Consider the following 17,711-nt stretch of genomic DNA (forward strand, 5'->3'; position numbering starts at 1 on the left):
CTGGCCATTTTATCTCCACGTGTGTTGAGTACTGAAAGACGGAAAAAGGCCTAGCTATAGCTTCTGCTCTCAAGTTCCACAACACAGCCTTATATCCTTATGTTAATTTTTTTTTGTTTGAGTTAGTTTGAACGTGTGCCTGTTTCATACAAACAAGCATCCTAGACTGAGATATCAAAGAATACATTAAAGATAAAGACAATGATAGAAAATGTACATCCACAGAAATATCAAGACTAAATACAAAAAGAAAGTCAGGCCAGGCACAGTGGCTCACGCCTATAATCCCAGCACTTTGGGAGGCTGAGGCGGGAGGATCACGAGGTCAGGAGATCGAGACCATCCTGGCTAACAAGTGAAACCCCGTCTCTACTAAAAATACAAAAATTAGCTGGGCGTGGTGGCAGGGCACCGGTAGTCCCAGCTACTCAGGAGGCTGAGGCAGGAGAATGGCATGAACCCAGGAGGCGGAGCTTGCAGTGAGCCGACACTGCACCACTGCACTCCAGCCTGGGCAACAGAGCAAGACTCCATCTCTAAAAAAAAAAAAGAAAAAAAAGAAAGAAAATCATTAGAGTTAATATTTTAAAAGTCAGTGGAGATATTTTTAATTCAATTTTTTATTTATAACCAAAACATAATAATTGTACGTATTTATGGGATAAAATGTGATGTTTCAATGCATGTGTTCATAACTTAATGATAAAATTGGGGTAAGTGCCATATCCATCACTTTCAATATTTATCATTTCTTTGTGGTCACAACATTGAAAGCCACCTCATCCCAGCTAGAATGGCTATTATCAAAAGTAACAAATAGAAGAAAAGAAAACTCATACATTGTTGGTAGGAATGTACGTTAGTACAGCCATAATGAATAACACTATGGAGGTTCCTCAAAAAACTAAAAATAGAACTGCCATATAATCCAGCAATCCCATTACTGGATATATATCCAAAGAAAATATAATCAGTATGTGAAAGAGACATCTGCACATCCATGTTTATTGTAGCACTATTCACAGTAGCCAAGATACAGAATCAACCTATATGTGCATCTAATGATGAATGGATATCTATCTGAGTGTGTGTGTGTGTGTGTGTGTGTAGTAGAATACTATAAAGCCATAAAACAGAATGAAATCCTGTCATTTGCAGTAACATGAATGAACCTGGATAACACTATGTTAAAGCACAGAAGGATAAACACCACATGATCTCACTCATATGTGGAATCTTAAAAAGCTTATTTCATAGAATTAGAGGGTAGAATTGTTGTTACCAGAGGCTGGGGAGGGTTGAGGTTGGAGGGAACTGGGAGAGGTTGGTCAATGGGTACAAAGTTACAGTTAAGAAGAATTTGTTTTCGTGTTCTATTACACAGTAGGGTGACTATAGTAAATAACAATGTATTGAATATTTCAAGATAGCCAGAAGAAGAGATTTTGAATGTTGTCACCACGAAGAAATAATACATGTTTAAAGTGGTGGAGATCTTTAAAACAGCAGTTTCATTAGAGAAAAACAGAACCCAGATTTTAGGGTGCTAATCAATATATAGAGAAACAAAAATATTAAATATTGACTACTCTTTTGATAAGTTTGGTACTATGAAAAGGAAAAAAATGAAATTGAGATAGAAATTTCAAATAACAATTAATATGGCTTCTCCTAAGTATCAGAAGTACCAGCAGAATGAAAGAAAGGTCTGCTCCTTTTGGTGTGTATATTACGTTTGAATGTTTGAGGAATTCAGGGACAGATTTAACAATCTGAAGGGAATAAATAAAGAGCAGGTGATATGAACACCTGCAGAAATTCATTCTATGAATACCTCCCTTGAATTTGTCATTTCTGACTCACTGATTTGGGGTCTGGGCTTTTGAAGTCAGACACTGGAAATATCCTCTGTCATCCTGATACCCGTGTGATTGATTACAGCATCATCACATTATAGATATCCAAAGGCTTTATGATATGAAACCAGAAATACAGTCCTCATTTCATTTCTAAAAATATCTACGGTTTTATATGTTCTTTTATTGCCTTTGTGTTTCTTTAGATTTTACGTTTCTGTTTCAGTCTTAGCAAATGGAATACCGTCTTAAGCTTTGAAAATGCAAGCCCTCCTTCTTGGTAGTTATGAATAAAGAAAACCCTAAACAGATTAGGGGAGAGGGGACTGTTGACACCCACTGAATTTTGAGCAGAGAGCCATTTAGAAGAAAATTGAAGGCTGAAAATATTTTCAAGAATAAAAACCTACTTCCTTTTCTAAATGATTGCTGTTATACTTAGAAACATTCTATACTACATTTGGTAACAGTCATGATCTTTTCAAGGTTGTCTGTAAGAAGCCCACTTAGAAACAACTAAGCTTCTAAACTGTAATGTCATCTCTTGTGAAATGTAATTATTAATCCCAAAGAGGGTTAATTGGTAGGCATAGGCAACAATACCCAAATTGATGTATTTAACTACCAAAGATGGACAAATTGCCTGCATTCTTTGGCTTAAAAAAAGACCTTCAAAGTTTATCTTCATCATTAGCCAATGAAAAGAAAAGTAAATTAGTCTGACAGATTCATCTTAAAACCATGCATATAAATTTCTTTTTGACAATGGGTTAATCTTCCACTGAAGCCACAAAGAAAGGTTTGATGAAAGCAAGGACAACCCTTCTTGGGGAAGAGCTCACCTGAAATGTAAGGGCAACAATACCTCAAAAAAGGAAATGGAATAGAACCCTCAACATGCTTATTTTCTTCCCATAATATGCGTCTTTTGCCAGAGAACTCTGTAAATCAGCTAGTTCAAGTAGAGATACAGGTGTTAGGAAAGGAGTCAAGTCTGAGTGACCAAAGTAGGTGTCAGTGGATAAATTAATAATCATAATAATTGTAGTGTAGTTTCCTTTAGGATTATCGGTATAAAGTATGTAATGTCTTGCAAGATCCCCTCTTCCTAACCTCAGGAAGCCACATAGAAGGCTACCTTGGTGTCCAGCAGAAAAAGAATGAGAATGGAAAAGAAAAAAGAACTATTACTGAGAAGATTGGTCCCAACCCAGATTTATACCCTAGACAAACATAGATTGTTGGCCAAGAAAACTCAGGCAGTGAATTTAGTTTCAGTTGTCCCAGGCTGGTACACTTACAGGTGCCTGGGAGAGAAGCTAATGCAAAGATTCACTGGAGGAGGATGCATTTCTCCTACTTCTCAAAAAACATGCAGAAATATTTTCCATCCAAAGGAAAATGAGTAATGACAAGATACAAGGGAAAATATGGCAGAAATGAGAACAAGCAGAAACAACAAACCTACTAAGACTCCAGTCACTGAAATAATCAGACACATATTATAAAATTATCATGCTCATCCCACCACATGCTTAAAAAGATCTGCAGGGAACCAGAAACGTTAAGTCTACATAACAGATTTGAAGAAAACTAAATAAATTAATAGAATGTAAGATATAATTTGTTAATTCAATGGATACATTTGAGAATGGGAAAATTAGTCACATCAAAGACAAATCACAGATCAGAATAAAATGTTCAAAATACAGTAGAAAGTGACAAAAATTTGGAAAATGGAGAATAAAGAGTAAAAGATGTAACAGATTTAATGAGATGATCTCATACACATTTATTCAATAGTCTCAGAAGGAGAGAAAAGAAAAAAAGGGGTTGTCAATGCAATATATGTATAAATAATACCCAATAATTTTTCAGGAATGATAAAAGAAAGATACATCCATAGATTCAAAAAGTTCCATCAAATCTAAGTAAGATAATTTTTAAAATTATATTCTGACACATCATAGCAAAACTGAAGAAAACAGAAGACAATAAGAAACTTAAAATTACCAGGTTTGGGAGAAGGAAGCCAAAATAATCTTAAATAAATGACATTACAATTTCAGCTAACTTCTCAACAGCAATAATGAAAACTGTAAGAGAGTGAAATGATACCAACAATATTCTAGAGGAAAAAAGAATAAAAGTAATAATTGCTCAAAGATAATTTATGTTCAGTTTTAAACATTTTTCTAGAATAAGAATAAAAAATATATTCAGACAAACAAAACCTGGTATTTTTGTCAACAACAAAAATCTCAGTAAGGAAAATTCAAAAAATCTTACAGCAGGCAAATGATAAACAAGTCCAGAAAGGAGGCCTAAGAAGAAAGAAGAGTTAAAAAGCAATGAAAATGGCAAACAGGAAATAAAATAAAAAGAAACACTGATTACTTAAAATGGTAATAAAGTTTAGTGGGGATAAATTATAAAACACGTAAGGTAGAATACCAGATAGTTTGACAAAAAATATTATACTTTTTAAAAAACAAGCATGCTTAGATTTACCTTTTGCTTTATTATTTTTTATTTTTCATGATTGTGGATACATAGATAGTTGTACATATTTATGGGATACATGTGATATTTTGATACAAACATATAATGTTTAATGATCAAATCAGGGTAATTATAATATCCATCAATCACCTCAAGCATTTATCATTTATTTGTGTTAGGAACATTGCAATACCACTCTTTCAGTAATTTTGAAATATACAATAAATTGTTGTTAAGTTTAGTCACCCTATTATGCTCTTAAACACTAGAACTTATTCCTTCTGTTTAACTGTATGTTGTCCCCATTAACCAACCTCTCTTCTTCCCCACTTCTTCACCCTTCCCAGCTTCTGGTAACCATCATTCTACTCTCTACCTTTATGAGATCAATTTATTTTAGCACACACATGTGAGTGACAATAGCGGTATTTGTCTTTCTGTGCCTGAATTATTTTACTTAACATAATGTCTTCCAGTTCCACCAATGTTGTTACAAGTGACAGAATTTGATTCTTTTATGGTTTAATAATATTCCATTGTGTATATATATCACATTTTCTTTATTCATTTATCATGCATGGACACTTAGATTGATTCCATATCTTGGCTATTGTGAATAATGCTACAAGTAACATGAGAGGACAGATATCTCTTTTATTGTTTCTTCTCTTGAGGTAGGGTCTTGCTCTGTGGCCCAGGCTGAAGTGCAGTGGTGCAATCTTTGCTCACGGCAATCTCTACCTCTAGGTCTCAAGTAACCCCCCCCACCTCATCTTCCTGGGTAGCTGGGACTACAGGTGTACACCACCATGCCTGGGTGATTTTTGTAATTTTTGTAGAGGCGGGTTTTGCCATGTTACCCAGGCTGGTCTCAAACTCCTGGGCTCAAGCAATCCACTCAACTGGGCCTCCCAAAATGCTGGGATAACAGGTGCCCAGCACTCCACCATGCCTAGCCCAGATAGCTCTTTAATCTGCCAATTTCCCTTCTTTTGGGCACATATCCAGCAGTGGGATTATGGGATGATATGACAATTCTATTTTTGGCTTTCTGAGGAAACTCCAAACTGTTTTCCATAATGGCTATGCTAATTTACATTCCCACCAACAGTGTAGGAGCATTCCTCTTTCTCCACATCCTCACCAGCATCCATTACTGTCTTTCTAATAAACGCCAGTTTAGTTGGGGTGAGATAATGTCTCATTGTGGGTTTAATTTACATTTATCTGATGATTAGTGATGTTGAGAATTTTTTCATATATCTGTTGGCCATTTGTATGTCTTTTTTTGAGAAATGTCTATTTAGATCTTTTGCCCATATTTCAATTAGATAATTTGGGATTTTGTTATTAGGGTGTTTGAGTTCTTCATATATTCTGGTTAATAGTCCCTTGTCAGTCAAATGTTTAGAATATTCCTTTTAAGTCAATATTGAGACAAAGATATTCAGAATTAATAAGAAAATTTAGCAATATTTGTGTATGTAAAATCAATATATAAAAATTAACTTCTCTTTTCTGGTAAAAGTTAGAAAATACAAATTTTAGAAATCTATATATGCATATAATTTATAAATGGCATGAAAAATACTAAATACATAGAAATAAATCTAACAATGCCTCTGTGAACAATACTGCTATGAGAATGCTGGACAATACCTATATGAAAAAAGCAGTAAAACTGTATTGAGAAAATTTCATAAATAACTAAATAAATGAAGAGATATACCATGTTTATAAATTAGAATATGGTTATGATAAAGATGTTGTTTCTCCAAATTGATCTATAGATTCTTCAAAATCCAATTAAAAACTCCCTTTAATTTTTCAAAAACATAAATTATGACAAGCTGGTTTCAAAATTAATATGCAAGATACCACTGAGAAAAACAAGTTTGGAAAAATCTATCATCTTGACTATTACATGCTATTACCAAACCATAGTAATTAAGGCAGTGTGGCGTTGGTGTGGAATTAGACAAATGGGCCAGTGAAGCAGACTATAGAGCAGATAAGCATATCAATTACATGTGAATGCATGAGTTATACAATAACTGTACTACAGAAATAGTAGAGAAAGGATTTTTTCCATATGTCGTATTGATGAATTGAGTATGCACATTTTAAAAAGAAAATCAGACTTGTGCTTAATATTATTTACAAAAATTTCCACATAGATTATAGACATGAAAGATAAAACAATAAGGTTTTTAGAAAATAATATACAAGACTATCTACACGATCTTGTGGTTGGGAAAGATTTTTTTAACCAAAATACAAAAAAAAGGCTAATCATAAAAGATTGATATATCTGACTTTATAAAAATTAATAAGTTCTAGTCACTAAATTTTATATACATATCCTCTGACCCAGCAATTCCACTCATAAGTTTGTACATTAAGATGTATGCCATGATGCCCATACAGCAATGTATGAAACGTTCATAATAACCATAAATTGAAAATAATTGAAATGTCCAAAATTAACAGAATTAATGGATAATTTGCAGTAAGTTAATAAAATGCAACAGTGAAATGAAAAACAAGCAATAAAAATGATATAGCTACACTCAACATTAATGAATCTTAAAAACATAGTAACTATAACAATTTTTAAGACTTCCATATAATTAAAGGCACAACAAAAACAAAGTTAAAGGATAAGGCATACCTTGGGAGAATTTATAATAAATATTTAATAATACCAACATATTAATAAGAATAAGAAAACACATGGAAGTAATTCTAACAGCAACAAACATAAAAAGATATTTAGTAGCATAGTTATTAGGGAATCTTAAAAAATTCATTATAAGTGTCACTTTTGATCTATTATACTGGCAAAAATTAATAAATCTAAGACAATACCCATATGAAAAAAAACACTAAAACTGTATTAAGAAAATTTTATAAATAACTAAATAAATGGAGCGATATACCATGTTTCTAAACTATCATATGATTATGATGATTATGATAAAGATGTTAAGTCTCCCCAAATTGATCTGTTAGGTGTTGGTGAAGATAAGAGGAAGTGATACTCTCATACTCTTATAGACTGGGGAAGGAAATGTGTGTGTGTGTGTATGTGTGTGTGTGTGTGTGTGTGTGTGTGTATATACAATATTCAGATACTTTTGGAGACCCATAGAAAGCATCAAGCAAATTTTTAAAAATAATAAATCATAAATTATACTTAGCTGGGCACAATGGCTCACATCTATAACCCCAGAATTTTTGGAGGGTCAGGTGAGAAGACCATTTGAGGTCGAGAATTTGAAACCAGCCTCAGCAACAAAGCAAATTCCATCACTACAAAAAAAATTTTTTATTTATCCGTGTATGGTGACATGTGCCTGTGATTCTAGCTACTCCAGAGGCTGAAGCAGGAGGCTCTCTTGAGCCCAGGAATTCGAGGCTGCAGTGAGCTACGATTGTGCCACTGCACTCCAGCCTGGGAGATAGAGAAAGACCCTGTCTGTAAAAATAAAAATATAAAAAAAGGACACACCTGCACAGATACACAAGGAGAAATATGCAATGATTTTCACTATGGCATTGATTTTATTGTCAAAAATTTGGAAAATAATAAATAAGGAAAATTCATTATATTAGAATTTTTCAGCCATTAAAATGAAGAATATACATAATTACCAATATGGATTAAAGTTAAAATGTAGCATTGATTTTTTAAAAAGCAAGCCACAGATAAATGTATTAGGTAGAATTACATTAACAAATGTGAAAAATACAATTTCATATTCACGTATATTAAAGTAGAAAAATGAACTGGAATGATATCTGCCACAATTACTATAGTTGAAAGCACATATGGTTAAACAGCTGAAACTGTATCTCTTGAAGTATTCTTTATTCAAGAAAAGTATTGGAAACAAACGTAACAATATGTGTCACAGGCTACTGAGGCTTCTATAACAAAACAGTGTAAACTGGGTGACTTAAACATTTTATTTCTCCTAGTTCCAGAAGCTGGGAAATCCAAGATAGGGTGCCAGCATGGGCTGGTTTTGGTGAGGGCTGTGCTCTTGGCTTGCAGACAGCTGCCTTCTTGCTGCATCCTCACACAGAGGAGAGACTAAGTGCTGGTAGCTCTTCCACTTCTTGTAAGGACACTAATCTCATAATGAGAGCTCCACCAACGTGACCTCATCTATGCCCAATTACCTCCCAAAGGCCACACTTCCTAATACCATCACATTGGGTTACAATTTCACTTTGTTAACTCCAGGGCTTTTCAAATTTGTTTAAACGAAGAACCTAACCCCCTCCTTTTTAGCATAATATATGTTACTATCTGGTTTGCTATGAGATTATACTCTACTCTTTGTGAATTGTAGTGGCCATAATACACATTGAGGTTGGGACTTCAACATATGAATTTTGCAGGGACACTCACATTCAGCCCATAACAATAAGCCAACATCTTAAATTCTATTGTATGTATACCATTATATTTTTCTAAGTTTTCAGCAATTTCTTAAAATTTAAAAATCACACACAATTTTTAAATTATCAAGAAATTTTGATCTAGTAACAACACATTTTGATCTAGCAAGTTATTTTTCCTAATAAAAATTATGGACATTGAACAGAAATTAATATTTTAAAACGTGTTCCATGAGTTCATTCTGATGAAGCGGGCTGTATAGGTAGTGGTGGCAAGGCCAACTCTGTCTCTGTATTAGTCCGTTCTCACACTGCTATAAAGATACGACTTGAGACTGGGTAATTTACATACAAAAGAAGTTTAATTGACTCACAGTTCCGCATGGCTGGGGAGGCCACAGGAAATTTACAATCATGGCAGAAGGGGAAGGGGAAGCAAGGCACCTCTTAACATGGTGGCAGGAGAGAGTGAGAAGGGGGAAGCACCAGACACCTATCAAACAACCAGACTGCATAAGGACTCACTCACTATCATGAGAACAGCAAGGGGAAATCCATCCCGGTTATCCAATCACCTCCCACCAGGTCCCTCATTTGACACATGGGGATTATAATTCAAGATGATATTTGAATGGGGACATATAGCCAACCTGTATCAGTCCCCACTAATGCAGACTTATACTATACATGAGCATATTTTAAAACTGAGCCAGGCACAGTGGCTCATGCCTGTAATTCCAACTTTTTGGGACGAAAAGGAGTGCCGATCACTTGAGGCCAGGAGTTCAAGACCAGCCTGGGCAACAAAGCATGACCCCATCTCCACAAAAAAAAAAAAAAAAAAAAACTAAAAATTAGCCAGGCATACTGGCATGTGCCCGTGGTGCCAGCTGCTCAGGAGGCTGAGACAGGAGGATCATTTGAGCCCAGGATTATAGTAAGCTATAGGTTATAGCAAGGTTATAATAAGCTATAATCACGCCACTGCACTCCAGCCTGGATGACCCTGTCTCTAAAAATAAATTAATTAACAAATAAAAAAGCTGAGAACTTTTGGAGCAAAGAAAACAATTGCACTTTGTTAAATCCAGGGCTTTTGAAATTTGTTTAAATGCAGAATCTGACCTGCTCCTTTTTAGCACAGTATCTATTACTATCTGGTAGGCTGAAAAAGATTATACTCCATTCTTGATGAATTGTCATATCCACAATACACATTTGATATCATCAATTTAATCACTGTATACATAATTTGTTTCAATTTTTTTCTTTTAAACATTTCTATTGTATTCTACTATTCAGATACATTTAATTGACTTGGTCATTCTATTATAAAGCATTTGCTATTTTCAATTTTTAAATGCAATTAAAACTACTCTGAACATTTTTATACAAATTATTTTTCCTCTGTTTACCTACATCCTATTAGTAACAGGATTATCTAGTCATGGTTTGTATATTTAGGTCCTGTTGCTTTTTATTTGTAGCATCCTTGACCATTTAGATGCACTGACTAGGTTTACTTATTTCTTCAGCATATTATGTTTATATGAATAATAGCAAAACCATTCAGTTTTTTAATGATATATTTTGAATTTTATTTTCTTCTCTGTAGGATTCTAGGTGGATAACAACTTCTCCTGCTACTTTTTTTTACAATATGGATCACTATGGTATTGGGACAAGGATAGCACAGAAAACAACTAGAAAAAGTATATTATTTGTGACTGTAAAGTCTTTGTGAAAGTTCTTTTCAATTGCTCTTGCACTCATTGTAGAAACTTTATCCCAAGGAAATAATCTGAAATATTTCAAAATAGAAAAACATTCTATTTTGGCTAAATTTGAAATAGCAAAGGTCTTAGAACTAAATAAAATGCTTCATGATACAGGAGTTATCAAATATTTTCTCATGCAATCTATGCATTATTATGACAAATTAAGAAAACATATGAGTATAGATAATTATTTCAAACAAAACGTGTAGAATTCAAAATTTTAGAAAGCACATAATTACAATAAACAAGGCTATTAAACAAATAGTAAACTTTAAAATTTTAATCTTTGGTTAGAGAACTATGGGTGAATTTTTTTTTTCAGTTTTCTATATTTTCTAAATTCTCTACAATACATATGGGTCCTATAATTATTTTCTAGCTTACCTTGATTTATGACCCCTTTCTCCACTTAAATGTTGAAAATTTAATTTCCAGAGCTCTTCATGATAAGGGGAAGATATGCCTCCACATGTATTAATCATAGGTGATTTGTTAACAGGCATATTCATAAATCATAAATTCTAAAAGGAATATTAAATGTATGTTAGCATACAAATGCACTCATAGTATCAAACAACATGTTATGCAAATTCATTATTTTTGGAAAAGAATAGCAAGAACTAAAGTTAGGCTTAAGAATAATTCTATATTAAGGAAGAATTTAAATAAATAAGTAAACCATAAGGATATGGAAATAAGTACAAAAAGTTACTATTATAAGTATATATATCCAGTCTTTATTATGCTTTAGCAGTTTTATCAGCAAAACCATTGAAACAGCAGCATGGCATGGTAGCTAAGAGGATAGGCCATACAACCAGACTAAGTGCTCTGTGCCTCAGCTTCCTCACCTGTAAAATGAGAATGGTATTTCCTCATAGAGTTCCTGTGAGAAATAAATAGTTCAATATATGTAAATTGCTTAGAATGAGCCTAGTATATAGGAAACTTTATGTAATCACTTGTGATCATATCACTGTTGTCTGTTCTTTAAAGTTTCTTGTAAATTCCTTTTCATGTCTCCTGTCTTTTCGTCATTTAGATAGTGCTTTCTCTGCTTGTTTTTACGCCCAGAATGTTTTTCCTTTTGATTCATATCTGAGTATATTCTATGAGTGTATGACCAAAACTAAGACATCCTATTTGTGTTTAGTGGAGATTTAGTCAGCAAAATGAAGTAATGAAATGGGTAGTCATATCTACACTGCATTATTTGTCTTTCATTTTTTTAAATAGCTAAATTTAAAAATTGATCATTAGATTAGTCAAAGTTTTGGCAGGAAATGCAGGGCACACTCAAATATGGTACCTGAATGAAAGAATTCTTCCCAAATACATGGGCAGAACTACAAAACAAGATGGTTGTATTCTCAGAGACTAGAAAGAACAAAATAAACTGTTATCACTCTTAGGGCTAAAGAGGAAGATAGACCAAGACAGAACAGCTATTAAAGAGTTGTGCTTAATAAAAAGCTTTGGCCTTTAAGTGAGAAATGCAGCTAATCTGAGGTTGCCCTCTAAGAGGGAGCCTGGAGGATAGAAACTCCAATCTCACTCTCCTTGCGTGCTCCATTCCAGTCATCCGCCTGTGCTACTCATTTGCCAAACCAAACTAGAAGCCAGAAAGTACAGGGGCAAAGTGAAGAAGAATGGAAAGCAGATCTGAGTGGCAATGGGAAAATATCCAGCAAAATATGGATCACAGACACAAAATGTCATTGTCTATTGCTATTGATGTATAGCAAGCTCTCCAGGAATTGAACTCAGCTCTGCACCAAGCAGACCTAATAGACATCTACAGAACTCTCCACCCCAAATCAACAGAATATACATTCTTCTCAGCACCACATCGCACTTATTCCAAAATTGACCACATAGTTGGAAGTAAAGCACTTCTCAGCAAGTGTAAAAGAACAGAAATTATAACAAACTGTCTCGCAGACCACAGTGTAATCAAACTAGAACTCAGGATTAAGAAACTCACTCAGAACCGCTCAACTGCCTGGAAACTGAACAACCTGCTCCTTAATGATTACTGGGTACATAACGAAATGAAGGCAGAAATAAAGATGTTCTTTAAAACCAATGAGAACAAAGACACAACATACCAGAATCTCTGGGACACATTTAAAGCAGTGTGCAGAGGGAAATTTATAGCACTAAATGCCCACAAGAGAAAGCAGGAAAGATCTACAATTGAAACCCTAACATCACAATTAAAAGAACTAGAGAAGCAAGAGCAAACACATTCAAAAGCTAGCAGAAGGCAAGAAATAACTAAGAGCAGAGCAGAACTGAAGGAGATAGAGACACAAAAAACACTTCAAAAAAATCAATGAATCCAGGAGCTGGTTTTTAGAAAAGATCAACAAAATTGATATGCCACTAGCAAGACTAATAAAGAAGAAAAGAGAGAAGAATCAAATAGATGCAATAAAAAATGATAAAGGGGATATCACCACCAATCCCACAGAAATACAAACTACCATCAGAGAATACTATAAACACCTCTATGCAAATAAACTAGAAAATCTAGAAGAAATAGATAAATTCCTGGACACATACACCCTCCCAAGACTAAACCAGGAAGAAGCTGAATCCCTGAATAGACCAATAACAGGCTCTGAAATTGAGGCAATAATTAATAGCTCACCAACCAAAAAAAAGTCAAGGACCAGATGGATTCACAGCCAAATTCTACCAGAGGTACAAGGCGGAACTAGTACCATTCCTTCTGAAACTATTCAAATCAATAGAAAAAGAGGGAATCCTCCCTAACTCATTTTATGAGGCCAGCATCATCCTGATACCAAAGCCTGGCAGAGACACAACCAAAAAAGACAATTTGAGACCAAGATCCCTGATGAACATCAATGCAGAAATCCTCAATAAAGTACTGGCAAACTGAATCCAGCAGCACATCAAAAAGCTTATCCACCATGATCAAGTGGGCTTCATCACTGGGATGCAAGGCTGGTTCAATATACGCAAATCAATAAACATAATCCAGCATATAAACAGAACCAAAGACAAAAACCACATGATTATCTCAATAGATGCAGAAAAGGCCTTTGACAAAATTCAACAACCCTTCATGCTAAAAACTCTCAATAAATTAGGTATTGATGGGACATATCTCAAAATAATAAGAGCTATCTATGACAAACCCACAGCCAAAATCATACTGAATGGGCAAAAACTGGAAGCATTCCCTTTGAAAACTGGCACAAGACAGGGATGCCCTCTCTCACCACTCTTATTCAATATAGTGTTGGAAGTTCTGGCCAGGGCAATTAGACAGGAGAAAGAAATAAAGGGTATTCAATTAGGAAAAGAGGAAGTCAAATTGTCCCTGTTTGCAGATGACATGATTGTATATTTAGAAAACCCCATTGTCTCAGCCCAAAATCTCCTTAAGCTGATAAGTAACTTCAGCAAAGTCTCAGGATACAAAATCAATGTGCAAAAATCACAAGCATTCTTATACACCAATAACAGACAAACAGAGAGCCAAATCATGAGTGAACTCCCATTCACAATTGCTTGAAGGAGAATAAAATACCTAGAAATCCAACTTACAAGGGATGTGAAGGACCTCTTCAATGAGAACTACAAACCACTGCTCAACAAAATAAAAGAGGACACAAACAAATGGAAGAACATTCCATGCTCATGGATAGGAAGAATCAATATCGTGAAAATGGCCATATTGTCCAACGTAATTTATAGATTCAATGCTTCTAATAATCCACATGCATCAGAATGTAAAGCAAATGGGATTTTTTTTTCAGTCAGCAGCTGTGCTGAGCTATATAGAGGAGTGCCATCCAGACTGGGTCTAACTTTAATGTAAAACAAATGCTATTCCCAAGCAGAATTAATATTTTCAGGCATTTATTTTTCTTTAACAGCTAACAACATCACTGGGCATTTCTACCTTAAAATGCACTCAGGAAAATAACAAACTCATATTACCAATAAAAATGCATCATAAGGTACAGCTAAGCACATGTAGCCTAAAAGAACAATACTCAATAAGTAGGAATGTGCAAAGGAGATAATTTGGTAAATCTAGTAATAAATGTTGCAAATTTGACAAGTGCTTATTGTGAATTATAAAAAAAATATGAAGGTAAGATGTTTAGCTAAACTAGGAAAAGAAAACATCTTCAAAAGAAGACCAAAAGAAACTCATGAGGCTATAAAAGCAAACCGATGAAAGACTTCATGACTAAAACACCAAAAGCTATGAACAGACACTTCTCAAAAGAAGACATATATGAGGCCAACAAACATATGATAAAAAGCTCATCATCACTGGTCATTAGAGAAATGCAAACCAAAGCCACAATGAGATACAATCTCACACCAGTTAGAATGGTGATCATTAAAAAGTCTGGAAACAACAGATGCTGGAGAGGATGTGTAGAAATAGAAATGCTTTTACCCGTTGGTGGGAGTGTAAATTAGGTCAACCATTGTGGAAGACAGTGTGGCGATTCCTCAAGGATCTAGAATCAGAAATACCATTTGACCCAGCAATCCCATTACTGGGTATATAACCAAAGGATTATAAATCATTCTACTATAAAGACACATGCACACGTATGTTTACTGCAGCACTATTCACAATAGCACAGACTTGGAACCAACCCAAATGCCCATCAATGATAGATTGGATAAAGAAAATGTGACACATATACACCATGGAATACTATGCAGACATAAAAAGGATGAGTTCATGTCCTTTGCAGGGACATGGATGAAGCTGGAAACCATCATTCTCAGCAAACTAACACAGGAACAGAACCAAACATTGCGTATTCTCACTCATAAGTGGGAGTTGAACACTGAGAACACATGGATACAGGGAGGGGAACATCACACACCAGGGTCAGTCAGTGGGTGGGGGGCCAGAGGAGCGATAGCATTAAGAGAAATACTTAATGTAGATGATGGGTTGATGGGTGCAGCAAACCACCATGGCATGTACATACCTATGTAACAAACTTGCATGATCTGCACATGTATCCCAAAACTTAAAATATAATTTTAAAAAGCCCACTATTCACAAAATATTGCATATATCAGAAATATCTAGAAATATAAAATTGAGTTAGAAATACTCTTAGATAAATTAGCTTAAAGCATTTAATGCCAAATGGATGGAAAAGAAAAAAATACAGGCCATCCAGAAAGAAAAAAAGTAATTGAAGGGAAATTGAAGGCTAAAACTGGTTTTCATGTACATTATGTTAGGCAAATTGACCTGAAGCTTTTGGCTATTTCTTGAGATATTTCACAGAGTTGGCTATAATTAGTAATATTTTTTGAGTTTCAAGAAGTTAGAGACTATTTTAAACATTATCTTTTAATCACTGAACTTATTGTCCAAAGATTCCTCACATCTGCTGCTAATAGTGGTAGATATTTGCACTTTCTTCTCAACATGCAAGTTCCACAATGCCCTGTTAAAGAAACTTCTCCAGTGGGATGGAATAAAACATCAAAAATACAAGTTTCTAAATGCTTACTCTAAATTTCTGGCTTATTTTAGCAGTACTGGTAAAAGTGTTTAACCAACACAAGTTTGTAAACCATTATTTGAGTAGAGTTGTGATATACAAGAGAGACAATTTGTGCCCTCTAATATATTTTATTACTTAGGACTGCTTTTGACTAAGAGTAATGGGAAAAAATAGCCAAACAACTTCAAATTTCCAAAAAGAAAAAGAAAATTAATGCCTCCATAAATATTTAGCATAGAGATGTTGGAATTAAATCCCCAATAAAGTAAATAAACAAATAAACAAAAAGGTTCAAAATAATCCTCCCTCCCCCAAAAATAAACATAGAGAATCTGAAAATGTCATCAACTTTCAGAAAAAAATATTAGTTCTTTTCTAAAGATATTATTCATCAAATTCCCAGTAGATCCCAAAGCTTGGAGCTATCAGCAAAAGAATTTAGTACTATTATTTTTATTGTTATTATTATTATTATTATTGCATGTACAATAAGACCACATTGCATTGTGCATTATTTTAAGATTCGTTTTCCAGGTATCTAGAACTAGAAATACCATTTGACCCAGCCATCCCATTACTGGGTATATACCCAAAGGATTGTAAATCATGCTGCTATAAAGAGACATGCACACGCATGTTTATTGCGGCACTATTCACAATAGCAAAGACTTGGAACCAACCCAAATGTCCAACAATGATAGACTGGATTAAGAAAATGTGGCACATATACACCATGGAATACTATGCAGCCATAAAAAATGATGAGTTCATGTCCTTTGTAGGGACATGGGTGAAGCTGGAAACCATCATTCTCAGCAAACTATTGCAAGGACAAAAAACCAAACACCGCATGTTCTCACTCACAGGTGGGAACTGAACAATGAGAACACATGGACACAGGAAGGGGAACATCACACACCACGGCCTGTTGTGGGGTGGCGGGAGGGGGGAGGGATAGTATTAGGAGATAAACCTAATGTTAAATGACGAGTTAATGGGTGCAGCACACCAACATGGCACATGTATACATATGTAACAAACCTGCATGTTGTGCACATGTACCCTAAAACTTAAAGTATAACTAAAAAAAAAAGGTAGAGTTAAATAGAATAAATGCTTTAGAGGGTCACGTAAGGTCGATTGGAAAATTCTTTGTAATTTTTTAAACATCTACTAGGAAAAACTGATGTAAAAACATTTTTCCACTGGCATGGAGCAATTCAATTCACCTAGTAGAACCCAGCAGCTCCCAGCCTGTGTGGGGATTATGAGGTAGAAGTTGGGCTGCTTTTTGATTTGGCTCACTGTTGATTGCACTGGGCTGACCTGGATCATTGGATTCTGAAGTTTTCGTGGATGGAAGCAGTGAAGATGTCCTAATAAATGAAGAAAAGCATACGCCTATCAGTTAACAACCTTCTTTCTTCCCAAAGTGAAACGGTATGGCCATACGAATGGGGTTTTATTATTAACCCTTTAATTCAGATTGTATACTTTTTGCCAGTTTATACATTTTACTTTTGCTTTTTGTGATTTAGTGATAAAGGAATGATTTCTATAAAGGCCTGATTATCTCCTTACACTGAAACTTGTTAAGATCAAAATAAAGAGGTAACATGAAAAAAAAAAAAAAAGCAGTC

The 17,711-nt window shown here is 34.6% G+C and overlaps 1 protein-coding gene across 23 annotated transcripts in view; it reads right to left on the reverse strand.

Moving 5' to 3' along the window:
• The window catches only part of TMEM232 (transmembrane protein 232), a 351,524-nt gene that overhangs the window by 268,870 nt on the left and 64,943 nt on the right, over positions 1 to 17,711 (reverse strand). For 17 of the 23 annotated variants that reach the window (XR_001742182.2, XR_001742181.2, XR_007058620.1 and 14 more), the window contains one exon: positions 10,928 to 11,064. The exons of 3 other annotated variants lie outside the window; for them this stretch is intronic. Coding sequence is in view for 15 of the 20 variants with exons in the window: in XM_011543565.4 (XP_011541867.1) it covers positions 10,928 to 11,052 (125 nt within the window). In the remaining 5 variants the exon portion in view is untranslated. Of the gene's footprint in view, positions 1 to 10,927; positions 11,065 to 11,394; positions 12,325 to 17,711 lie in introns of those variants that run through there. 3 more of the 23 variants (XM_011543553.3, XM_047417495.1, XM_011543560.3) reach the window with 3 other exon arrangements.

The sequence above is a fragment of the Homo sapiens genome, chromosome 5 (assembly GCF_000001405.40).
Source record: "Homo sapiens chromosome 5, GRCh38.p14 Primary Assembly".
NCBI classification, from domain to species: Eukaryota; Metazoa; Chordata; class Mammalia; order Primates; family Hominidae; genus Homo; species Homo sapiens.